The sequence below is a fragment of the Homo sapiens genome, chromosome 16 (assembly GCF_000001405.40).
Source record: "Homo sapiens chromosome 16, GRCh38.p14 Primary Assembly".
NCBI classification, from domain to species: Eukaryota; Metazoa; Chordata; class Mammalia; order Primates; family Hominidae; genus Homo; species Homo sapiens.
In genome coordinates this window covers 89,678,939-89,702,864 of record NC_000016.10, presented here as the reverse complement: position 1 = coordinate 89,702,864, position 23,926 = coordinate 89,678,939, and the positions used below count along the sequence as shown (strand labels likewise).

Below are 23,926 nucleotides of genomic sequence, written 5' to 3'. Positions count from 1 at the left end.
GGTTTCACCATGTTGGCCAGGCTGGTCTTGAACTCCTGACTTCAGGTGATCCGCCCGCCTCGGCCTCTCAAAGTGCTGGGATTACAGGCGTGAGCCACCGCACCCGGTCATGATCACTATTTCTAAGATGCCAGCAGGGAACTTCCAGGTAAAAAATCTAAGAAAAAGGGGGGACCTCGCCGCCCAGGCCCAGGGAAAGTTTCAACAAACTTGGGCCTTGGTTTTGGTGGCCTGGAGAGATGAGGGACACAGACGTGAAGTAGCAAAGCCTGCCCAAAGCGGGGGTGTGGGGTAGGGGTGGGTTTCGGCTGGGACCTCCAAGGGTCTCCCTCATCCTCCTCTACTTCTGGGCAATGCGAGAAAGTGGCTGTAGCACAGAACAGAGGAACCCGAGCGAAGAAAACGTCCCCGGGAAGTCGTGGCCCAGATTTAGCCTGGGTGGATCCGCAGCCCAGGTCAGCTTTTAGCCTAGAGAGGGGGGCGGCTTCGCCCTGCCTCAGAGACCCGCCCAGACGATGCTCTCAAGGGCTGCAGATGGCAAGTGCAGGAGGCCGGGAAGCGGAGCCAGCATAAACAGAATCTGAGGTCCCCGCATCCACCTGAGGCTGCTGTTTCAGACGAGGCTGAAAGGCTTGTCCTTCCGCCCACCTTCCGTGCCGCGGGCCCCTCCCTCAAGGGGATGGCCCCGCCCCACAGGGGAGGCCCGCCCCCGGATCCGGCCAATCCCCGCCAGGTAATGCAGGTGGCCCCGCCCCGCAGGAAAGGCTCTTCCCAGGATCCAGCCAATCCCCGCCAGGTAATGCCGGTGGCCCCACCCCCCAGGGGACGAGCCCGCGCACCTGCTTCCCCGCGGCCGGGTCGCCTGGGGCTGGGTCCCTGTCTCGTGGGGAGGAGCGGCCCAGGCACAACGTTCCCTGAGCGCCTGCCATGAGCCCGCAGCCCTCGGCCCAGCGGCGTCGTGAACGATACCGGTCCCGCGAGGAGACGGGCGACGCGGTGACAGGAGGCTCTCGGGGTGCCTCGCGCAGGGGCTCGGCCGGGCTGACACCTCCTCCTCCCCTTTCACCAGGCCCCGCCCCTCCTAAATTATTCGGAGGCGGGGCCTGCGCCAAGCCCCGCCCCGCCCCCAGCGTCACGGCCGCGGACCCCGGGCGGAGCCGACTCCCGGCGGAAGCGCGCGGCGCGCGGGGAGGCCCGAACTGATCCGCGGCGGCCGGAGACCGCTGGGGACAGACAGGTAGCGCCGTCACCCGCGGGATCCGCAGCTCCATCTGCCGGGCGAAGGGGCTCTGGTCGGGAGAGGGCTCAGCGGGCGGAAGCGCGTCTCTAGAGAAGGGTGCGGTCGATAACCGGGGGCGCCCCTGGAAGGCCGAGGTACCCAGGCTGGAGGGAGGGGCTGGAGGTGCGGGGGCGCTCAACTGGAGGGGCCTGGATCGCTGGGTGGGCGGGCAGCTGATGGGGCCGAGGTCTCCAGCGTAGGGGGTGCCGAAGATACCGGGGGCGCCCAGCCGCTGGGGGCGGGGTCTCCAGGCTCGAGGGGTCCTGGGGACGCTGGGTGAGGGTTCGGGGAGAGCGCGGCGGGCTGGGCGCGGCCTTAGGTCCCTGACCCCCCCGACCCCCGTCCGCCGCAGGATGGGCAGCAGCTCGCTGTCCGAGGACTACCGCCAGTGCCTGGAGCGCGAGCTGCGACGGGGCCGCGCGGGCGTGTGCGGGGACCCCTCGCTGCGCGCGGTGCTCTGGCAGATCCTGGTGGAGGACTTCGACCTGCACGGGGCGCTGCAGGACGACGCGCTGGCTCTGCTCACCGACGGGCTGTGGGGCCGCGCCGACCTGGCGCCCGCGCTACGCGGCCTGGCTCGCGCCTTCGAGCTTCTGGAGCTCGCCGCGGTGCACCTGTACCTGCTGCCCTGGAGGAAGGAGTTCACCACCATCAAGGTAGGCGCCAGGCCAGGAGGAGCGCGCCCCTCGTCCTGGCCTGCGGGTCGCGGGGCCGCCGACCATGGGGGACCACGCCTTTCGAGAGAGAGGGGCTTCAAGTGTCCTCAGTGCCTGGTGGGCTCCTCAAGGCTCCGAGCGCTGAGGGGTCGTGGGCGTGTGGGGGCACCCACTCCTAGGGCTGAGAACATGGGGTGGGCGAGGGCAGGCTTGGGTGCTGCCTACGGGGTCCTGCCCTGAGAGCTTGCGTCAGTGTCTTCCCTAAGAGGCCTCGCGGCCCCAGTTGCCATGGAAATCTTAGGACGGGGGCACAGAAGGGACTTGAGTTCCCATGGTCATCCTAATTCCTCCAGGTTATGGGCCAATCCCATTTGCAGAGGAGGCCGCCGAGGCTGGGAGGACTGCAGATGGGTGCATCCCTGTGAAGTCTCAGGGCTGGGCTCAGACCTAGTGAACTCCACGGCCTGGGGCGGGAGGCTGTGCCCAGGGCTGGCCTGGCCTCTCCAGGTGAGCTCCTGGCGGCAGGAGGGGGCAGGGCCGCCGGGAGCTCTGAGCTAATTCGGAAGAGTAGGAAGCCGATGACGTCACTGGGCACGTGGGCGAGCTACGCCTCCGCCGGTTGCCATGGCAGCGGCAGTCTCTCCGCGGCTCCCCGGGGACACCTGCTGGTCGGAGGCGCCAGGACTTTCATTCATGAGAGAGGACGGACAGGCCCGCCCTTGAGGCCTCCCAGGGGGCGGGGCGGGGGAATAACCGGCTTCAGTGCCGGACAGCCCTGGTTTGGACTTAGTTCTGCTGCTTCCTGGCCGCGAGGACTTGGCCAAATTAGCTAATCTCTGTCAGCCCCTTTCCTCCTGAGACAGCGACACGGGAACAGTCCAGTTCATGGGGCCAGAGGAATGAATCAAAGCCCCGAGCTCAGTGCTGCAGGCACTGGGCGCTCCACACGTGGGCCGTGTCCAGGCATTAGATGCTAGGAGTCCCGGAGTTAGGGAATTTGAGAGTCAGGAGACGCTCGCAGTGATTGTCCTGAGCTCCTTTAGTTCTTCACCTAAGTGTAGGCTAGAAAGCACTCAGCCAGGCCGGGCGCGGTGGCTCACGCCTGTAATCCCAGCTCTTTGGGAGGCCGAGGTGGGCAGATCACGAGGTCAGGAGATTGACACCAGCCTAACCAACATGGTGAAACCCCGTCTCTATTAAAAAATACAAAAATGAGCTGGGTGTGGTGGCACGCGCCTGTAATCCCAGCTACTCAGGAGGCTGAGGGAGGAGAATCACTTGAACCTGGGAGGTGGAGGTTGTAGTGAGCAGAGATCGAGCCACTGCACTCCATCCTGGTGACAGAGTGAGACTCCGTCTCAAAAAAAAAAAAAAAAGAGCACTCACCCTTCTACCGTCCCACGGCTGTCAGCCCAGTGCATGGACAGCCTCTGGAGAGCGCTGAAAACAGACGTGTCACCCCCATGGTGGAATACTACACAGCAGGGGGAATGAACGTTACAGCTTCTGTCCTTGTCTGCAAGACTGTAGTGGAAAAAAACAAAGTTCAGAACAACACGTTTAAGAGGCTACCTGTCTAGCTTTGGTTAGAGACCTTACAAAGAGGTGAAAAAAAAGGGGGGACTACCTCATACGAGGAGCAAACGAAATCTGTATTTGGGTTTGCAAAACAAACACCTGGGCAAGTACATTCAAAACTAATTAGATGAGGCCATCTCCAGGGGTGAAGGGAGCGGTGGGACAGAAGACAGTGGAATTTCTCAGTACAGGGGCTCTTCATTTTGTTCTGATTTGTGAGCTAGGTTAATGTATTCATTGTTTTTTCCATTAAATTTAAGAAATTCGGCCAGGTGCGGTGGCTCACACCTGTAATCCCAGCACTTCGGGAGGCCAAGGTGGGTGGATCATGAGGTCAAGGGATCAAGACCTTCCTGGTCAACATGGTGAAACCCCGTCTCTACTAAATATACAAAAATTAGTGGGGCGTGGTGGTGCGCACCTGTAATCCCAGCTACTCAGGAGGCTGAGGCAGGAAGATCGCTTGAACCCGGGAGGAGGAGGTTGTAGTGAGCCGAGATCGTGCCACTGTACTCCAGACAGAGCGAGACTCTGTCTCAAAAAAGAAAAAAAAAAAAAAATTCTAGGCCGGGCACAGTGGCTCACGCTTGTAATCCCAGCACTTTGGGAGCTCAAGGCAGGCGGATCACTTGAGGTCAGGAGTTTGAGACCAGCATGGCCAACATGGTGAAACCCTGTCTCTACTAAAAATATGAAAATTAGCCGGGTGTGGTGGTGGGCGCCTGTAGTCCCAGCTACCCGGGAGGCTGAGGCAGGGGAACTTGCTTGAACCTGGGACGCAGAGGCTGCAGTGAGCTGAGATGGAGCCACTGCACTCCAGCCTGGATGACAGAGCAAGACTCTGTCTCAAAAAAAAAAAAAAAAAAAAAAAAAAAAAGAAATCATCATGTTTGGGCCTGGCCCAAGCTGGCTAAGCCTAGTCTCTGGGGTTGGGTCTGAGCATCAGAAGCTGCCAAGGCCTGAGCCAACAGATCCCGGACCCACTGTACCCTAGGGTCTGGCCTATGGGAGGGTGGGCAGTCACTGACCTGGCCGCTCCCTTGCAGACCTTCTCTGGGGGCTACGTGCACGTGCTGAAGGGTGTGCTCTCAGACGACCTCCTCCTGAAGAGCTTCCAGAAGATGGGCTACGTACGCAGAGACAGCCATCGGCTCATGGTGACCGCCCTGCCCCCCGCCTGCCAGCTGGTGCAGGTGGCCCTGGGCTGCTTCGCCCTCCGGCTGGAGTGTGAGATCCTGGGTGAGGTGCTGGCCCAGCTGGGCACCAGTGTGCTGCCAGCTGAGGAGCTGCTGCAGGCACGGCGTGCCAGCGGGGACGTGGCCTCCTGTGTGGCCTGGCTGCAGCAGCGGCTGGCCCAGGATGAGGAGCCGCCACCCCTGCCCCCCCGAGGCTCCCCTGCTGCTTACAGGGCCCCACTGGACTTATACCGGGACTTGCAGGAAGACGAGGGGTCGGAGGACGCCAGCCTGTATGGGGAGCCGTCACCAGGCCCTGACTCGCCCCCGGCGGAGCTGGCCTACAGGCCACCACTCTGGGAGCAGAGTGCCAAACTGTGGGGCACTGGGGGCCGGGCCTGGGAGCCCCCAGCTGAGGAGCTGCCGCAGGCCAGCAGCCCACCATATGGGGCCTTGGAGGAGGGGCTGGAACCTGAACCTTCCGCCTTCTCCTTCCTCTCTCTGCGCCGTGAGCTGAGTAGGCCTGGGGACCTGGCCACCCCTGAAAGCTCTGCAGCGGCCAGCCCGAGGCGTATTCGGGCAGAGGGGGTACCAGCCTCAGCCTATAGGTCTGTCTCGGAGCCCCCAGGCTACCAGGCACACAGCTGCCTGTCCCCTGGCGCCCTGCCCACCCTCTGCTGCGACACCTGTCGCCAGCTGCATGCTGCCCACTGTGCAGCCCTGCCCGCCTGCCGTCCAGGCCACTCGCTGCGTGTGCTGCTTGGCGACGCCCAGCGGCGCTTGTGGCTACAGCGTGCACAGATGGACACTCTGCTCTACAACAGCCCCGGGGCCCGGCCCTAGGCCAGCTGGGCCCCAGGTCAAGGGCTCTTGGGAGACAGCTCCCGTGGTGCTTCTCTTTGCTGGGGAGGGGTCTGGGCCTCTGGTTGCCTTGTCCCTGGGGGAGTCCTGGGCACAGCAGGGGGTTGGAGAGTCCAGGCCAACCCTTGCTGGAGGTGGGACTCTCTGTATATGGAAGGCTCCAAGGGCAGCAGGCCTAAGCCGGCCAGCAGGAGCCTTTCCACATTTCCCCACCCTCGGAACCCAGACGCATGCCCACATGTGCTGGGTAGAGGGGTCCAGCCTGTTCCAGCCAGTGCCTGAACCTGTCCCTGAGAAGGACCCTGTGCCCCAAGGCCCGTGGCTCCTGGCCTGCTCCCTGCAGTACGGAGTACGGGGCTCAGGACTTGGGGGTCCTCCACGTGTCCCAGGGATTCTCCACACGAGTGTCCTCAAGGGCCTGTTGGTGACACCGAGCTCCCCCCACCCCAAGCTCTGCTGGAGCCAATCTGCGGGGCTCTGCCGGGTGCACGGCTGACCTGGCTTCGGGGACGCCGGCCCTCCCCTTGGGTGTCACAGCAGCTGGGCCCACAGACAGGAAATGACCTGACCTCAAACCAGATGTGGAGGTGCACGAGAGGCGCAGGAACGGGCAGTGGCTGACAGCTGGGAAGGCCCTGAGCGTCACTGCTGCTGGGCGGAAGGGCCTGTGGACAGCCCGCCCAGGCGGCGGGGTCTTGGTGGGTCCAGTGGTAATGGTGCCCCTCCCCTCCATTCCCTGTGGGTGCAGCCCACAGGCTGGCGAGGAGGTGCCTCTGCCCTACCCTCGGGTCTGGCGAGGGAGAGGGCAGGGTGCATCCACTGTGACAGCCCCTCTGGGCCCACAACTCCCTGACCCTGGAAGCTGAGCCTGCTTTCCTGACCCTCCGCCCCACCCCCTCCTCCCCAGAACACTCAGAGGGACGGTCAACATCAGAGCACATTAAACGCTGGTGAAACCATGTCTGTTAAAAAAGCTTTTATCCAACAAGAGCCTATAGCTTCGCTCAGCATCAGAGCCACGGCCTCCTGTTGGGTCCTCCATGTGGGGAGCAGGGATGCAGCTCAGCCTCCAGCCCAGGGCTCTCCTGGTAGTCTCGGGGTATCCTCAATTGTGGCTCCCACCCCATACCTTGTCCCTCTTGTCCTCATCTGGAGTCCTGCCAGGCCCACCTGGGGTCCCCACAGCCAACCCATGCACGGGACAGCCCCGGGCGACTGAGAGGGGATACGAAGGTCTTCTGGGCCCTCTCATCCCAGGCCAGCGTCCACCACAACTCAAAGACAGCGGGGGGACTGCACCCACCACTCCTCCCAAGAAGCAGTGGTTGCACATTTCCAACATAGCGAGGAGGACCACATGAGACCCCTGCAGCCACGGATGGAGCCGCCAGACCTGCCCTTCCAGGGTGCACGGGCTGGGAGCCCCCCGGTGTCACCCGGCCTTTTTCTGGGGGCAGCAGTGGGTTCAGGGCAGACAGTGGGAGGAAGTCAGTGGAGGATGTTCCCAGCCAAGGGGATGAGCTGGATCCCGGGCGCCTGGTCAGCCTGGCTCGCGGCACCCTTCACAGACACCACTGATCGGAAGACCTGGTGTGGGAATACAGGCGTGTGCCAGGCCCACCGTCAGGGTTTACAGCGCTTGCTCTGGCCCTCGGAGGTGGCTGGGGCGGCCCGCTTGTTGCGGTGGTGGGGAAAGGTCGGCATGAGCTCCGGCTCACAGGCTGCAGGGAGAAGGGTTCAGTGCTGGGCGGGGCAGGGCCCCAGATAGGAGGAGCAGGCCCAGGTCTGAGTCCAGCTCTGCCTCTGGACCTGGCCCTGGGCTGTCTGTGCCTCCACATGCCCCTGTCCTCTTACCCCAGAAAGGGTGTGCCGTCAGTGAGGGCAGCAGGCCACTTCTCCACCACCCACCCCGGGCAAAACGGGCTCCCAGCCATACCCCACAGAGCGAGTCAGGAACCCTGCACACTCACGTAGGGGCTTCTCCTTGAAATAGGAGCTCTCCAGGCAGTCCCCGGCCGTCGCCCTGGAGGAGGCAGCCTGCGTTAGTGCGACTTGTGAGTGCGGCTTCCTCACCTCCCACCCAGCTGAGCAGCCTGTGATTCAAATGCTCAAAGGAAGCCAGGTGGCCACTCCGAGCGGCTGTGCCTGGGGAGGGGCCTCTCCACCGCAGTGAGGCTGGGCTCTGGGAAACGGTCTGGACAGTGTGGGTGGTGAGGGTCCCTGCCCCCCGTGCAGAGATCAGCACCTTTTCTTAGGGTCGTACATGAACAGGAAGTGCAGCAGGCGCAGCCCGGCCTCCGACAGCCATGGGAACTTGTGCTTCAGGTTGTTGTAGGGCTGCTTCCGGAGGCTGTACTGGCCGACCAGTGGCAGCTTGGAAAAGCCCTATGGGAGGCAGGAGCTGAGGCGCAGAGGGCGTGGGCACGGGCGGGGGCTGCGGGCGCAGAGGGCGTGGGCACGGGCGGGGGCTGCGGGCGCAGAGGGCGTGGGCACGGGCGGGGGCTGCGGGTCTGCCCAGGACGCCCACCGGCCAGATGTTCTCACTGGGCGTGCCCAGCAGCTGCACGATCAAGTCGATCTGGTGGATCTCGGAAGTGCCGGGGAGAAGAGGCCTGTGCGCCAGCAGCTCGGCCAGTATGCAGCCCACAGCCCTGCAGAGAACAGTGGACCTCACTGCGGCCAGACGTCTGCTGACCCCGCCAGCGCGAGGAACAGAGGACCTGACTGCAGCCAGACCTTTGCTGACCCTGCCAGTGTGAGGCACGCTGGGTCAGGGACACTGTGAAGGACAGGCAGGGACCACTGGCTCCCCTCCTGGGCCCCGCAGGCCTCCCGGGGTGACAAGTGCAGGGGCAGGCGTGCCTCCTCCAGACCTCTGTGCTCCCAGCCTGAGAACAGCAAGCTAAGTTCTCACACCTCCTCCTGGGTTTCCAGGCTCAGGCCCACCTCCCTGGGAGTGGGAGGCTGGCAAAGACCCCACTGCACTCCTGCCCCTCCCCTGAGGCTGAGCTCAGGAACCAGGTGACCCGGCTCCTGTCCCAGCCCTTCCTGAGGCCCCAGGAGCGGTAACCGTATCTCCTCACCACATGTCGATGCTGGTGGTCTGCGTGGTGGTTCCCAACAGCAGTTCAGGGGCTCGGTACCTACACACAGAAGCACCCACCTCAATACAGCCGGCTCCTCTCCCCCAGCCCAGGCCTCCACAGGACACAGCCTCCCCGAGAGCCTGTGGTGGCCTGGAAACCTGTCCCAACTCGGACCACCCTCTGCCCCAGGCCCTGCAGATCCAGGTGGCACACACAGCAATGGTTGCCGGGGGCGAGAGCTGTCACGTGCAGCGGTGTCCTGAGAGTCGCAGGGACCACGGACCCTCGGCACACAGCCACACCAGCCACTACCAACCCGTTCTCAGATGGGGAGTACACGACACTGGGGTCCTGACCTGATTCTGACCAACTCTGATATTCAGCCCTGGCTAAGCATGACCCTGTTTGGTTAAAAGTATCCAGGAGGAAGAACCAGGGAAAGCATGCAAGCTGCCTGTCCTTCAGTCCGTGAAGCAGCCTTCCCTCCAGAGATGGTTTCACGGCCACGGTGTTTCCAGCTCTCAAGGCGAGGTGTGTCTGATCTAGGCAGGCCCTTGACGCCACTGAGCCCGTCTCTCACCATTTTGTGGCACAGCCCTGCTGTGTCCTGGAGGCTGTCCTAGACCCAACGTTTCTGAGTGTGCACAGACCCTGTAGCTTAACATTCCCAAGGCCAGTTGCAGCTTCGGCCTGACATCCCCAAGGAGACCTCCACCAGACAGGCCTGGTCCCCAGGGGCCACCATGCTTCAGAAGGACTTACCAGAGAGTGACCACCTTGGGGGTCATTGGCTTTACTGGGACACCATAGGCCCGGGCCAGGCCGAAATCCGCTGCAGCAGAGAGGGGAGTGTGTGTCACCAAGTGCCATCTAGGGACAGGGCCTGGCCCAAGTTGCACCCACCTGTCTTCACACAACCCTTGTCGGTCATGAGCAAGTTGGAAACCTTCAGGTCCCTGTGATGGAAAAACAGTGGCAGGTGGCTCCCAGAGGGCCACAGGGGCTGAGAGCTCCCCCACGGCACCAATGCCCGTAGACTTCCTGCACGTTTCCTCAGCTTTGGGCTTTTTAGTATCTTTTTTTTTTTTTTTTGAGACAGAGTCTCACTCTGTCGCCCAGGCTGGAGTGCAGTGGAGCAATCCCGGCTCACTGCAAGCTCCGCCTCCCGGGTTCACGCCATTCTCCTGCCTCGGCCTCCCAAGTAGCTGGGACTACAGGCGCCCGCCACCACGCCCGGCTAATTTTTTTGTATTTTTAGTAGAGATGGGGTTTCACTGTGTTAACAAGGATGGTCTCGATCTCCTGACCTCGTGATCCGCCTGCCTCGGCCTCCCAAAGTGCTGGGATCACAGGCGTGAGCCACTGTGCCCGGCGTAGTATCTTTATTATTTTTTTTTTCATTAACTCTTACATGCTGTTGATGTTTGGACCTTTTAAAAATCGGAGTGCATGCCTGGGTGTGGTGGCTCCCACCTGTAATCCCAGCACTTTGGGAGGCCAAGGTGGGTGGATCACTTGAGCCCAAGTGTGTGAGACCAGCCTGGGCAACACAGAGAGACCCCTTCTCTATTTTAGAAAAAAACACAAATGGAGTGCGAGCAGCGGGCAGGCTGCTGCAGCTGGGAACCCCTGAGCTTTTAGTAACTCCACAGGGGCAGCAGAGTTAGGCCTCAGCCGAATTTGTGCTTCCAACTCTGCCTAGCTGTCACCCACCTGTGGATAATGAAGTTCCTGTGCAGATACTGGAGGCCCCGGAGCACCTGCAGCACGATGCACTTGACCTGTGCAGAGGGTCAGAGGTACCAGTCAGGGTGAGCCTGCAGGGAAGCCCAGCTGGGCCCTGCCACACCCACACTGGCCAGCAGGACTAGCAGTCCCAATAGCCCAGGAAACCAGTGCCCTCAGAAGGCTCTCGGCCCCGGGGCTGCACGCTCCCAGCAGCCCAGGAAACCAGTGCCCTCACAAGGCTCTTGGCCCCGGGGCTGCACTCTCCCAGCAGCCCAGAAAACCAGTGCCCTCAGAAGGCTCTCCGCCCAGGGCTCCCCGCTCCCAGCAGCCCAGGAAACCAGTGCCCTCAGAAGGCTCTCAGCCCCGGGGCTGCCTGCTCCCAACAGCCCAGGAAACCAGTGCCCTCATAAGGCTCTCGGCCCTGGGGCTGCCCGCTCCCAGCAGATGCCCCCACCACAGGAATTCCACCTCACTGAAGCTCGCTGAAACACTGGGAGGTGGAGGCAGAGGCAGCAGCAGCTCTTCAAGTCCCCAAGTGCCCTGTTTCGTTATAAATGTGCACCACAAGGGCCCATGAAGCCCATTCCCCCACCCCAGGCCCCTCTGCCACGCACCTGAGCCTCCGAGAAGGGTGTTGGCATATTCTCCAGGAGGCTGGCCAGGTCCTGCTCACAGTAACCCATCACCAGGAAGATGCTGGAAGAAACAGAAGATGCATGCCACTCTCCGGCCTTCTCCTAAGGGGTGGAAGTGGAGCCTCCCCTGCTGCAGGAGGGGACATGGGCAGGACAACCTGTGTCCCCCTCAGACAATGGGCTGAGCCAGGCGGTGAGGTGGGGTCATCTCTTCTCTGACAACCTCATGCCCAGTGACACTCAGTCCTCGCTCTGTGCAACACCTCTAGCCCAAGACACATGCTCCCTAGGGCCCAATGTGCAGACCAGGAGACCACGTACCTCTCCAGGTGGTTCCCCACAACCACCTCCTTCAGCTCCACGATGTTCGGATGACGCAGGCGGAGCAGCAGCGTGATCTCCCGCAAGCTGCTGATGGGGATGCCTGGGGAGGGAGGTGGCCTCAGCGAGCCCCACCCCAGTGATGGCGGGGAAGCCCCAACCCCAGCCACTCTTGGGCTTCACGAACACCTGATAGCAGGTGCTGCAGTGTCCCCACCTCAGGGAGAATTGGGGCGACCCCAATAAGCATTTTTTTTTTTTTGAGACGGAGTTTCGCTCGTTGCCCAGGCTGGAGTGCAATGGCACCATCTCGGCTCACCGCAACCTCTGCCTCCCGGGTTCAAGCAATTCTCCTGCCTCAGCCTCCCTAGTAGCTGGGATTACAGGCATGTGCCACCACGCCTGGCTAATTTTGTATTTTTAGTAGAGATGGGGTTTCTCCATGTTGGTCAGGCTGGTCTTGAACTGCCGACCTCAGGTGATCCGCCTGCCTCGGCCTCCCAAAGTGCTGGGATTACAGGCATGAGCCACCATGCCCGGCCCAATAAGCACTTTTAACTCTTCCTTGACCAAATACGAATCGGCACCTCTCTAAACACCGTGGACATCTATGTGGGGCATGGCAGGGCCCTGCCTGCACAGGCAGGTGCTGGGGGTGGAGGGGACAGCAGAGCTGAGCCTGCAGTGAGGTGGCCTCACCAGACAGGAGGGGGAGGAGGGGATGGAGACTGCAGAGCCCTCCTGGCAGACAGCTGAGGCTGCGTGTGGACCTGGGGGTGATGTGCTGGGCCACACCAGAACCCTCCCAGAGGCCGGCCCCCGCTACAAGCACCGTGCAGTCGCTCTGAGGAAACTTCAGGTAACTCACATCCTTCTGCCTCCTCCCAGTGCGAGGTCCCAACACCCCAATTTCCTGCTCACCATCCTTCTCCTTGTCCATCCGCACCTTCTTCAGTGCGACAATCTCATCTGTCTGGGTGTCCCGGGCCCGATCTGGAATGGAAACACATTGGTGATGACATCATCTCGATGCCCCTCGTGGGCTCCCTAGCGCTGAACGGGAGGCTCTCCCTGAGCCACAGGGGTCCCCGTTCTTTCCTCTGACAACCTCATGCCCAGTGACACTCAGTCCCCACTCTGTGCAACGCCCCTAGCCCGAGACGCGTTCCCCCGGAGGGTTTCCTCATTTGAACTGGGCAGGGGGTGCCCAACTTTGCTCTGTGCTGGACCCTGGCCTCCAGCCACTCAGTTCTGTGGCTCCAGGCTCTCCATGTCCTCCTTAGCATGCAGATCACTGCTTTGTGCTCTCTTGTAATGTCCTAAAAGCAAATAAGGTACTCTATGCAGAAAAAAGCAAACCTTATTTTGTGTGAAGATGGCTCTACAAAACATCCTGCTAATGTGTGCAGCTTCCAGAATGACCTACGCCAATTTCACATCTGTTATAACCTTTAGTTGTGTGTGGTGTTTTTGGTTTTTTTGAGACAGGGTCTCACTCTGTTGCCAAGGCTGGGGTGCAGTGGCGTGATCACAGCTCACTGCAGCCTCAAACTCCTAGGCTTGGCCGGGTGCAGTGGCTCACACCTGTAATCCCAGTGCTTTGGGAGGCCGAGGCAGGAGGATCATTTGAGCCCAGAAGTTCAAGACCAGCCTGGGCAACATAGGGAGATCCCATCTCTACCAAAAATTTAAAAATTAGCTGGGTGTGCTTATGTACTCTTGTGGTCCCAGATACTCAGGAGGCTGAGGTGGGAGGATCACTTGAGCCTAGGAGGTCGAGGCCGCAGTGAGCTATGATCATGCCACTGCACTCCAGTCTGGGCAATAGAGCAAGACCCATCTCAAAAACAAACAAAAAGAAAAAACACCTGGGCTCAGGTGACTCCTCCAGAGTTGCTGAGGTGATAGACATGAGCACCATGTCCAGCTCCTGCTGCTTCTGGAAAGTTCTGTATTTTATTTCTCTAACAGTTCTGTGTACTCTGCAGTGACACGTTTGGATTATGGGCATTAGCAACCGGATGCTTACGTTTACCCAGAAATGGTACAATGTTTGTGATAACTACATCAGGAATTGAAGTTCCTGAACAGGTTTCTGCCCTGTTTCAGAGCACAGGGTCTGAGTCCCTTCCAGCCCCAACGCGGCTGCTGCTTCGACAGTCTCGTCCCACACTGTCACAGCCACGAGCTGCGGCCACATGTCCTAGCCTTGGCCACTCACACACAATGCCGTAGGTACCCTCTCCAATGCGGTTCAGCTTCTCAAACTCCTTCACACTCCGGCATCGTCCCAGCTGAAACAGAAGGGTGTTGCCAGTGTGGAAATTTGGCAGCTGATGGAACAACTGAGGAAATTTCAAATGGAATTTGTACCAGGGAGCCCACTCACGTCTTGCTCACCAAACAGAAAGGCAACCACACGTTTGGGCTTTTTTTTTCTTTTTTTGAGACTGAGTCTCGCTCTGTTGCCCAGGCTGGAGTGCAGTGGCAAGAACATGGTTCACTGCAACCTCCGCCTCCTGGGTTCAAGTGATTCTCCGGCCTCAGCCTCCTGAGTAGCTGGGATTACAGGCAGGTGCCACCACAACCGCCTAATTTTCTATTTTTAGTAGAGACTGGGTTTCACCATGTTGGCCAGGCTGGTCTTGAGCTCCTGACCTCAAGTGATCTGCCCGCCTTGGCCTCCCAAAGTGCTGGGATTACAAGCGTGAGCCACCGTACCCGGCCTCTTGGGCTTTTCTGATGAGAAAAGGTGGTGACGATACTGGGCCAATGCTTTGAAAGAAATATCAGAGGCGGCCACTCAGATACTCCCTTTCAATCCCACATACAAAAATACATCTGTGGCAGAGGCTGCTGTCCCAGCATCCCTGTATCACTACCTCCTGGAAGTTATGAAACGCTACCCAGTGGCATCTGGCCTTGGAATGTGAGCTGAAGGGACCGTGTGACTTCCAGGTGAAAGGAAGCTTTCACCTCTTCTCACCTCAGTGACGGGAAGAAAAAATGGAACCAGAATGCCTGACCCACCTGTGCAAAACAACTGCTTCTCTCCAGAATGTTAGGGGAGAGTGAAAAAAGGCATCATCTTGAGGCCCTGTATTTTGGGGTCTCTGAACTAGTAGAGTCTGTATCCTTCTCCATGGATCTAAGAAGCACATGTAAGCCGGGCGCAGTGGCTCACGCCTGTAATCCCAGCACTTTAGGAGGCTGAGGTGGGTGGATCACGAAGTCAGGAGATCTAGAGCACCCTGACTAACACGGTGAAACTCCGTCTCTACTAAAAATATGAAAAAATTAGCTGGGCGTGGTGGCGGGCGCCTGTAGTCCCAGCTGCTTGGGAGGCTGAGGCAGGAGGATGGCGTGAACCCAGGAGGTGGAGCTTGCAGTGAGCCGAGACTGCGCCACTGCACTCCAGCCTGGGTGACAGAATGAGACTCCGTCTCAAAAAAAAAAAAAAAAAAAAAAGCACACGTAGCAAGGTTTGAAACCTCACAGCCCCCATTTCCCGGCTTCCCTTCTCTTAACCCTCAGTATCAAACCTGGGCTCAAGCAATCCTCCCACCTCAGCCTCCCAGATTGCTGAGATTACAGGTGTGAGCCACTGGCCGCATTTGTCCTCAGTCTGATTCCTTCCTGACACCTGGGGACCGAGTCAGAAGCATCTGGCCTGTCACTCACTGATGGCCTAGTCTCAAACTCCCTTTCCCGCCTTAATTCCCCTTCTCACATCCTCTGCTTGTGCTCTTCTCGACACGCTTATTTCTGGGTGTCCAAATCCTTGTCACACTTCCTGAACTCAAAGAAATGCCAGGCCAGGCTGGGGGCGGTGGCTCACGCCTGTAATTCCAGCACTTGGGAGGCCGAGGCAGGAAGATCACTTGAGCCCAGGAGGCTGACGATGCACTGAGCCGTGATCACGCCACTGCATTCCAGCCTGGGCGAGAGCGCTAGACCCTGTCTCAAAAAAACAACAAAAAAGAAAAGGCCAACTCACTACTTCACCCCAGAGTCCAGCACACGGCTCTCAACGCGGTGAGCGCCTGCTGCACGTCTGGATGAGTAAAGTGTGGCTCCTGTTGTCATCCAGCCACGATCTGTTAATGATTCTTACTGAACACGTGGCTTGGCCTCTCAGAGCACCAGCCAGCAGTTAAAAACACAAACCAGCGGCCAAAGTTCAGGGCTCTCCACCCCCACCAGCCGTGCACCTGGGCAACACCGCCCAACGCCCAGAGGCTCTCTCCTGGTCTCTGCAGAGGGAGGCACCGGCACCTCCGCAAGGGACGCGCCCAGGGTTCGCGTGAAGCCGCCAGGCAGCGCTGGACCCCGCTCCATGCAGCCCAAGCCCAGCGGGAGCCTTCAAGCTCGAACTCGTCGCGGGTGTAAATTCTCCCCACAAACAAGTGGCTCGCGGCTCAGCCTGCAAAGCCCAGCTCGGGCGCTGAACCCAGCAGCGCCCGAGCTGGATCCCGGAGCTTGCTCTTCCCAAGTCCCGGGCCCGTCTCTCCGCGGGCGCGAGGCATCCCTGAGCCCGCCCCGGCCCCTCAGATCTCCAGGGACCGGCTGTCGGGGGTCCTGAGCCCGCCCCGCCCCGGCTTCCGCCCCCGCCGCGGGGAACTCTGGGACTGTCGTTCCCGCCCGTGCCGGAAGCCTCGGCGCGGCAGCGCGACACGAGGCTCCCCAGACCCAGCCGGGCAGTGCCGCTAGCGAGGCGGGCAGAGCTGCCCGGGTGGCACCCCGCGCACCCTGTGTTCCGGAGGCACCGTGAAGAAGCCCTCCTTACGAATACACTTCAGACGGATCTGCTCGCACTCCAGATCTGGCTCCGCCATGCCGAGCGCTGGCCCCGCCTCTCTTGCGCGCAGGCGCAGACGCGGACGGCCCCGCGGCGCAGGCGCGAAAGCTCCTTCCCGGGCTTCCTCTCCTTAGCAACGGTTACCAAGAGACGCTCCCGCGGGTCCGCCCTAGGCGCTGGGCTCCAGGGATCGGCTCCGACTGCTGCAGTTCGGGCCTTATTTTAGGGTGAAGCCCGGGCAGCCGACCCGGCTGCGCCGTAGTGGGAGGCCACGGCGATTACCCAGGTGAAGGTCTTCCAGGTGAGACGGGTTCCCCCAGGTAAGAAGGTCCTCCAGGTGGGAGTCCTTCATGTGGGGAGGTCCTCCAGGTGGGGGGGGAGGGTCCTCTCGGTGGGGGGTCCTCCAGGTAAGAGGATCCTCTAGGTGGGGGGGGGGGGTTCCCCAGGTGAAGGGCCCTCCAGGTAAGAGGATCCTCTAGGTGGGGGGGGGGTTCCCCAGGTGAGGGGACCTCCAGGTAAGAGGATCCTCTAGGTGGGGGAGTCCCCCAGGTGAAGGGCCCTCCAGGTAAGAGGGTCCTCCAGGTGAGAGGGTCCTCCAGCGGAGGGGGTCCCCCAGGTAAGAGGGTCCTCCAGTTGGGAGTCCTTCAGGTGGGGTGGTCCTCCAGGTGAGAGAGTCTTCCAGGTGAGAGGGTCCTCCAGGTGAGAGGTGAAGGTGAAGGTCCTCCAGGTGAGGGTCAGGTCACTTGGTCCAGGGATGTGGCTTCAGCAAGCATTTGGGTGCCTCCTCTGTGTTCAGGACATGGGGACTCCAGGAGACTGAAGGAAGCAAGTGGCAATGTCCATGCTGTCAAGTTCTGTCACAGAAATAAGCAGGAGTGAGTGAAAGACAGGAGAGAAGCTCTGTGAGGGGTGGCATTCAAGCTTAGCTTCTGGGCAGGAAGAGGCAGCTATGTCAGCATTCCCTAACAAGGTTTGGCAAAGTAGATACCTCCCCTCACTCATGGAAGACCTGACTTCCCAGGCTGGTAGAAGCTTCTCTCACAGGCACCTGCCTCTCCAATCTCTTTCACAGCCCAGCCCTGGAAGGTGGAAAAAGAAAAGTTGACATGGAATGTTTAGGAAGCACCATTGGTCCAGGTCCAGGATCGGGGCAGCCAGCATGTCCTCTAATCTGGCTTCACTGTTGAAATCCAGTCGAGCAAGCAGGGCCCAAACCACTGCGAGACCAGCTCGGTCGGGCCCAAACCACCGCCCACTGCGAGACCAGCTCGGTCGGGCCCAAACCACCGCCCACTGCGGGACCAGCTCGGTCGGGCCCAAACCACCGCCCACTGCGGGACCAGCTCGGTCGGGCCCAAACCACTGCCCACTGCGGGACCAGCTCGGTCGTGGAGACCCTAACCCAGCGGCGCTAGAGGAATTAAAGAAACACACACAGAAATATAGGGTGTGGAGTGGGAAATCAGGGGTCTCACAGCCTTCGAAGCTGAAAGCCTCGAACAGAGATTTACCCACATATTTATTGACAGCAAGCCAGTGATAAGCATTGTTTCTATAGATTATAGATTAAAAGCACTTCTTACGGGAAATAAAGGGATGGGTCTGGCTAGTTATCTGCAGCAGGAGCACGTCCTTAAGGCACAGATCGCTCATGCTATTGTTTGTGGTTCAGGAACTCCTTTAAGCGGTTTTCCGCCCTGGGTGGGCCAGGTGTTCCTTGCCCTCATTCCAGTGTGGGAGTCATGGCCATCATGAGCATGTCACAGTGCAGCAGAGATTTTGTTTATGGCCAGTTTTGCGGCCAGTTGATGGCCAGATTTGGGGGCCTCTTCCCAACAGCCCACAGCCAGACCTAGACTCCATTCAGATTGGTTTTGATCAGCATGTAGAAAATGGGGGAGTTGAGTGTGGTATACAAAATGGGGGTGTTGGCCAGGCGTGGTGGCTCATGCCTGTAATCCCAGCACTTTGGGAGTCTGAGGCGGGTCGATCACGAGGTCAGGAGATAGAGACCATCCTGGCTAACACAGTGAAACCCCATCTCCACTAAAAAATACAAAAAATTAGGCAGGCATGGTGGCGGGTGCCTGTAGTTGCAGCTACTCGGGAGGCTGAGGCAGGAGAATGGTGTGAACCCACGGGGCGGAGCTTGCAGTGAGCCAAGATCACACCACTACACTCCAGCCTGGGTGACAGAGTGAGACTCTGTCTCAAAAAAAAAAACAAAAAAAAAAGAAAATGCAGGTGTTGTGACCAGGCACAGTGGCTCATGCCTATAATCCCAACACTTTGGGAGGCCGAGGTAGGCAGATCACTTGAGGTCAGGAGTTCGAGACCAGCCTGGCCAACATGGTGAAACCCCGTCTCTACTAAAACTAACAAAATTAGCTGGGTGTGGTGGTGGTTGCCTGTAGTCCCAGGTACTCGGGAGGCTGAGGCAGGAGAATCGCTTGAACCCGGAAGGCGGAGGTTGCAGTGAGCCAAAATCGTGCCACTGCACTCCAGCCTGGGTAACAGAGTGAGACTTTGTGAAAGGAAGGAAGGAAGGGAGGGAGGGAGGAAAATAGAGGGAAGAAGAAAGAAAGAAAACAAAGAGCACGTGGAGAGAACAATCCTAGAAAACTGACGTAGGCTGTGTTCCTCTGAAGTCCATACACAGCAGGCAGGCGTGAAAGTGGTTTATGTATATAAATAGGTACCATTATTCTCTTCTGAGGTTTAAGTTGTCTAGCTTTCGTTCGCAGAGCTTTAAGAAAAGCACGGCTTTGGCCCGGCGCAGTGGCTCATGCCTATAATCCCAGCACTTTGGGAGGCCGAGGCCGGTGGATCATGAGGTCAGGAGTTCGAGACTAGCCTGGCCAACATGGTGAAACGCATCTCTACTAAAAATACAAAAAAATGAGCTGGCCATAGTGGTGCACACCAATAATCCCAGCTACTCGGGAGGCTGAGGCACGAGAATCACTTGAACCCAGGAGGCAGAGGTTGCAGTGAACTGATACCACACCACTGCCCGGGTGACAGAGTGAGACCCTGTCTGAAAAAACAAATAAACAAACAAAAAAAGAGAAAATAATAAAAGTTGAAAAACCTTAGGCAAGGCTAGAATCTAATAACAGGTATACTATAGTTTATTTTGAAACATAATTTTTCTCTCTCTAGTCTCCTATTTTTACCAAAGTGAAATCAGGTAGTACTGATTTGTTTTCAAAATAAGTTTTAGTCTTATTGTACTTGGCCTGGTTATTTGTATAAACTGTAGCAAGAATAAATATTTACCATGTAGGCTTTTTTTTTTTTTTTTTTTTTTGAGACGGAGTCTTGCTCTGTCGCCCAGGCTGGAGTGCAGTGGTGCGACCTCGGCTCACTGCAAGCTCCGCCTCCCAGGTTCACGCCATTCTCCTGCCTTAACCTCCCAAGTAGCTGGGACTACAGACGCCCGCCACCACGCCCGGCTAATTTTTTGTGTATTTTTAGTAGAGACGGGGTTTCACTGTGTTGACAAGGATGGTTGCAATCTCCTGACTTCGTGATCTGCCCGCCTTGGCCTCCCAAAGTGCTGGGATTACAGGCGTGAGCCACCGAGCCCGGCCACAAAAATTGTATCATTGAGAAAATTATGCCAATTGGGGAAGATCTGATGTAGCCAAACCCCCTTTGACCTTTAGCCTTCAAGCTGCCTTCAGTTATTCTTGGGCTAGCTTTGGGAGATGTTTATAGTTTACATGATAATAGCCCCTCCCCAAAACTCAACTGTATTTGTAAAACTAATGAGGGGCCACCAGGCTAGGGAGAGGAGAGGAGCCTGAATTTGGCTAAGATGTAGACATAAACAATTATCAGCCATTATTCCAGAGGTCCTGCAGATAACAATGCTATTGTAACCTAAGATTGGCCTTTTGCAGTACCTCGCAAGGGTTTTTTGCATGTCTGATACCTACGGCTCCAACAGGACCCACTGACTGATGATGGCTCCACCTGGACCTGCCAACTACTCCTGCAGCCCCACCCAGAAGCGGTTCAGCACACGGGAGGATCCTGTCTCACACCCTACGATGGCCCCCCGCCCCCACAACCCATCAGCAGCAAGCACCCACTGCCAAGCTACCCCACCCCTTCCCCCAAACTACCTTTGGAACACCCTAGTCCCCAAATTCTTGGGGAGACTGATTTCAGTAATCATCAAATTCTGGTCTCCCATTCACTTGTCTCTGTGTGAATTAAACCCTTTCTCTATTGCAGTTTCCCTACCTTGATACATGGGCTCCATCTGGGCAAGAAGAATCCACTGGGTGGATACAGTATGAAGCCAGTTTTCCCAAGGGCTTTGATGGGCACTATAGGTCAACTCTGATTCCTTAAAGCCGTCTGTTTATATTTGAAAGCATGCCATTCCAGTCAAAGCCTTGGTAAAATATGCAGTGTCTCTATGTCCTATTACAAGAGAAAACAGATTGTTACTGCACGTGCACACATCATTATATTGACATTAGAATACAAATAGGGGAAGGGAGAGGGAAAAGTTTTTTTTTTTTTTTTAAATAGTGCTCACAGATAGTTCCCAATTTTTGGAGAAATCAGAAAGAAATATGCTACCCAAGCAAAATATAAAAAACAAAAAAGAAAACAGAAATATGTTCCAAATCTTCCTCACAGGAGTGTACTTTACTCAATTGCTAAAAGCTGCAAATAGCTCAAAGTTAAAAAAGTTACCAGCCGGGCACCGTGGCTCACGCCTGTAATCCCAGCACTCTGGGAGGCCGAGGTGGGCGGATCACAAGGTCAGGAGATTGAGACCATCCTGGCTAACACGGTGAAACCCTGTCTCTACTAAAAATACAAAAAATTAGCCGGGCGCGGTGGTGGGCGCCTGTAGTCCCAGCTACTTGGGAGGCTGAAGCAGGAGAATGGTGTGAACCTGGGAGGCGGAGCTTGCAGTGAGCCGAGATGGCGCCACTGCACTCCAGCCTGGGCGACAGAGTGAGATTCTGTCTCAAAAAAAAAAAAAAAAAAGTTTTCTTGGTTCTGAAAGAACAGAAAGAATCAGTAATGTTTTAAGCAAAAACATAAAAAGATTATTTCAGTCTTATATTAGTTTAGTCCATAAAATTAACTCTCATTTTGCCCAATATTGGATGAACAATCCTCATGAATATAGCAGCTCTCAATGAGAGTCTTGGAAGTTTTTTGCTCTATTCCAATGGCACAATCTCAAAAGTGATCAGAAACTTAGATTGAAGAGTACCTCAGAGTTCTATAGCTGATTATAAACTGCTCTGTGAAAGGATAAAAGTAAAACAACAATTGTGGATGACAAAAGTCTTAGAACAGCCACAGTTAAAGACATAATTGAGGCCAGGCACAGTGGCTCATGTGTGCAATCCCAGCACTTTGGGAGACCAAGCAGGGCGGATAACTTGAGGTCAGGAGTTTGAGACCTCCCTGGCTAACATGGCAAAACCCTGTCTTGACCGGGTGCAGTGGCGCACATTTATAATCCCAAAACTTTGGGAGACTGAGGCGGGTGGATCACTTGAGGTCAGGAGTTTGAGACGACCCTGATCAACATGGTGAAACCATGTCTCTACTAAAAAAATGCAAAATTAGCCAGGCATGGTGGTGTACACCTGTAATCCCAGCTACTTGGGAGGCTGAGGCAGAAGAATTGCTTGAACCCAGGAAGTGGAGGTTGCAGTGAGCCAAGATCGCGCCATTGCACTCCAAGCCTGGGCAACAAAAGCAAAACTCTGTCAGGGAAAAAAAAAAAAAAGAAACCCCGTCTCTATTAAAAATACAAAAATTATCTGGCCGTGGTAGCATGCGCCTGCAGTCCAGCTACTCTGGAGGCTGAGGTATGAGAATCGCTTGAACCTGGGAGGCAGAGGTTGCAGTGAGCCAAGACTGTACCACTGCACTCCAGCCTGGGCCACAGAGCAAGACTCTGTCTCAGAAAAAAGAAAAAAAAAAGACATAATTGACAAGCAAATTTGGTTACTTATGTGGCATACAACAATTTTACATAATAATCATAATTACTACTAATACCATATACTAAGATGTATCAGAATCACAGGCATCTCATACAATTTTGGAACACACACTAACAACACATTTATATAAATATAATCCCAAGAAAAACACCATTTCACCTTTAACAATGCTTCCTGTATGATTTCATTATACCAAATAAGCCATATATCTCTTTTTGGACTTCAGGGGACCTAATATCAAAAAATTGCCAGGTGCAGCAGCTCACACCTGTAATCCTAGCACTGTGGGAGGCCCGGAGCGGTGGCTCACGCCTGTAATCCCAACACCTTGGGAGGCCTGGCGCAGTGGCTCACACCTGTAATCCCAGCACTGTGGGAGGCTGAGGCAGGTGACTCACGCCTGTAATCCCAGCACTTTGGGAAGCTGAGGCAGGTGGATCATGAGGTCAGGAGATGGAGACTATCCTGGCTAACACAGTGAAACCCTGTCTCAACTAAAAAATACAAAAAAAAAAAATTAGCTGGGCGTGGTGGCAGGCGCCTGTAGTCCCAGCTACTCAAGAGACTGAGACAGGAGAATGGTATGAACCCGGGAGGCGGAGCTTGCAGTGAGCTGAGATCGTGCCACTGCACTCCAGCCTTGGTGACAGAGCAAGACTCTATCTCAAAAAGAAAAAAATATATAAAAATTAGCCAGGTGTGGTGGCGGGCACCTGTAGTTCCAGCTACTTGGGAGGCTGAAGCAGGAGAATCGCTTGAACCTGGGAGGTGGAGGTTGAAGTGAGCCGAGATTGTGCCACTGCACTCCAGCTGGGGCAACAGAGTGAGACTCCATCAGACACACACACACAAAAATTAATGAGGACTGAAGAAAGAATTTGATTTTGGAAAGTTTGTCAAATATAAAAAGTGTTTTGTTTTGTTTTTGTTTTTATTTGAGACAGAGTCTCGCTCTGTTACCCAGGCTGGAGTGCAGTGCTGCAATCTTGGCTCACTGCAAGCTCTGCCTCCCGGGTTCACGCCATTCTCCTGCCTCAGTCTCCCAAGCAGCTGAGACTACAGGCGCCTGCAACCACGCCCAGCTAATTTTTTGTATTTTCAGTAGAGACAGGGTTTCACCATGTTAGTTAGGATGGTCTTGATTTCCTGACCTCTTGATTTGCCCATCTCAGCCTCCCAAAGTGCTGGGATTACAGGTGTGAGCCACCGTGCCTGGCCTAGAAAAAGTTTTAAAACAGTTGCTATCACTAAATAGGATCACAGGTCATTGTAAAATAAGTCATTCACTTAGCCACAGTGATAACTCACAGATTTCTTTTTTTATTTTCTTTTTTTTTTTCTGTTTTTACCTTTCCTATGGTGCTGAGATAACTCAAAGATTTCAAAAAAAAATGTAGAAACCTTTATTCTTTGAGGGAATTTCTTCTCAAAAGATAAAGACAGCATAAGGCCAATTAAATCTCTCTAAAATTTTATAAACAAATCTATTAAATTGTAATCATCTTGAGCACAAGATATAATTTTCAGGCTGGGTGTGGTGGCTCACGCCTGTAATCCTAGTACTTTGGGAGGCCAAGGCAGGCGGATCACTTGAGGTCAGGAGTTCAAGACCAGCCTGACCAACATGGCAAACCTCATCTTTCCTAAAAATACAAAAAGTAGCCAGGCATGGTAGTGTGCGTCTGTGATCCCAGCTACTTGGGAGGCTGAGCCAGGAGAACTGCTTGAACCTGGGAGGTGGAGGTTGCAGTGAGCCGAGATCACACCACTGCACTTCAGCCTGGGTGACAGAACAAGACTCCATCTAAAAAAAAACAAA

General features: G+C 56.7%; 2 protein-coding genes and 1 long non-coding RNA gene across 31 annotated transcripts, besides 4 other annotated features; 2 read left to right on the top strand and 1 right to left on the bottom strand.

Moving 5' to 3' along the window:
- Positions 565-1,284: a silencer, noted in NCBI's record as "silent region_7921". NCBI's record gives its function as "represses an Ori minimal core promoter by ATAC-STARR-seq in GM12878 lymphoblastoid cells {active_cell/tissue: GM12878}" and the evidence as "EXISTENCE:reporter gene assay evidence [ECO:0000049][PMID:35858748]".
- SPATA2L (spermatogenesis associated 2 like) lies at positions 1,160-6,508 on the top strand. Of its 2 annotated transcripts, none has more exons than NM_152339.4 (3): positions 1,160-1,237; positions 1,632-1,935; positions 4,560-6,508. In NM_152339.4, the coding sequence occupies exons 2-3, from the start codon at positions 1,633-1,635 to the stop codon at positions 5,529-5,531; spliced, it is 1,275 nt and encodes a 424-aa protein (NP_689552.2). In that variant the 5' UTR covers positions 1,160-1,237; position 1,632; the 3' UTR covers positions 5,532-6,508. The 2 variants fall into 2 exon arrangements, with proteins under 2 accessions (NP_689552.2, XP_005256336.1); XM_005256279.6 differs by having other exon boundaries at positions 1,160-1,374.
- Positions 1,455-1,554: a silencer, noted in NCBI's record as "silent region_7920". NCBI's record gives its function as "represses an Ori minimal core promoter by ATAC-STARR-seq in GM12878 lymphoblastoid cells {active_cell/tissue: GM12878}" and the evidence as "EXISTENCE:reporter gene assay evidence [ECO:0000049][PMID:35858748]".
- Positions 2,557-3,422: an enhancer, noted in NCBI's record as "H3K4me1 hESC enhancer chr16:89765851-89766716 (GRCh37/hg19 assembly coordinates)". NCBI's record gives its function as "activates a minimal SCP1, AML or CMV promoter by ChIP-STARR-seq in naive H9 embryonic stem cells {active_cell/tissue: H9 hESC(naive)}" and the evidence as "EXISTENCE:reporter gene assay evidence [ECO:0000049][PMID:30033119]".
- Positions 6,509-6,510: 2 nt separating the features above from the next.
- On the bottom strand, positions 6,511-16,176 carry CDK10 (cyclin dependent kinase 10). Of its 25 annotated transcripts, none has more exons than XM_011523405.4 (13): positions 16,068-16,176; positions 13,541-13,613; positions 12,241-12,312; positions 11,320-11,422; positions 10,978-11,059; positions 10,349-10,416; positions 9,539-9,591; positions 9,398-9,467; positions 8,633-8,692; positions 8,077-8,296; positions 7,795-7,934; positions 7,520-7,572; positions 6,511-7,270 (listed from the first exon to the last, which is right to left on the bottom strand). In XM_011523405.4, exons 1-13 carry the CDS (start codon positions 16,152-16,154, stop codon positions 7,173-7,175), a joined length of 1,179 nt encoding a protein of 392 aa, XP_011521707.1. In that variant the 5' UTR covers positions 16,155-16,176; the 3' UTR covers positions 6,511-7,172. The 25 variants fall into 25 exon arrangements, 23 of the variants coding, with proteins under 23 accessions (XP_011521707.1, XP_011521709.1, XP_011521708.1 ...); XM_011523407.4 differs by having other exon boundaries at positions 6,511-7,136; XM_011523406.4 differs by having other exon boundaries at positions 7,813-7,934.
- Positions 15,742-15,991: a silencer, noted in NCBI's record as "silent region_7919". NCBI's record gives its function as "represses an Ori minimal core promoter by ATAC-STARR-seq in GM12878 lymphoblastoid cells {active_cell/tissue: GM12878}" and the evidence as "EXISTENCE:reporter gene assay evidence [ECO:0000049][PMID:35858748]".
- On the top strand, positions 15,953-20,358 carry LINC02166 (long intergenic non-protein coding RNA 2166). Of its 4 annotated transcripts, none has more exons than NR_184151.1 (3): positions 15,953-16,418; positions 17,190-18,042; positions 19,675-20,358. It is a non-coding gene; the product is annotated as a long intergenic non-protein coding RNA 2166 (long non-coding RNA). The 4 variants fall into 4 exon arrangements; NR_184152.1 differs by having other exon boundaries at positions 17,190-18,055; positions 19,689-20,358; NR_184150.1 differs by lacking the exon at positions 17,190-18,042 and having other exon boundaries at positions 20,070-20,358.
- The last annotated feature ends 3,568 nt before the right edge of the window (positions 20,359-23,926 follow it).

Excerpts from the sequence above, each read along its gene's own strand:
- CDK10 (XM_011523405.4), bottom strand. The coding sequence starts at position 16,154 with ATGGCGGAGCCAGATCTGGAGTGCGAGCAGATCCGTCTGAAGTGTATT. Across the intron at positions 12,313-13,540 it reads GGGTACCTACGGCATTGTGT|ATCGGGCCCGGGACACCCAG; the intron begins GTGAGTGGCCAA and ends TTTCCATTCCAG. Across the intron at positions 11,060-11,319 it reads GTGGGGAACCACCTGGAGAG|CATCTTCCTGGTGATGGGTT; the intron begins GTACGTGGTCTC and ends TGTTTCTTCCAG.
- SPATA2L (NM_152339.4), top strand. The coding sequence starts at position 1,633 with ATGGGCAGCAGCTCGCTGTCCGAGGACTACCGCCAGTGCCTGGAGCGC. Across the intron at positions 1,936-4,559 it reads AGGAGTTCACCACCATCAAG|ACCTTCTCTGGGGGCTACGT; the intron begins GTAGGCGCCAGG and ends GCTCCCTTGCAG.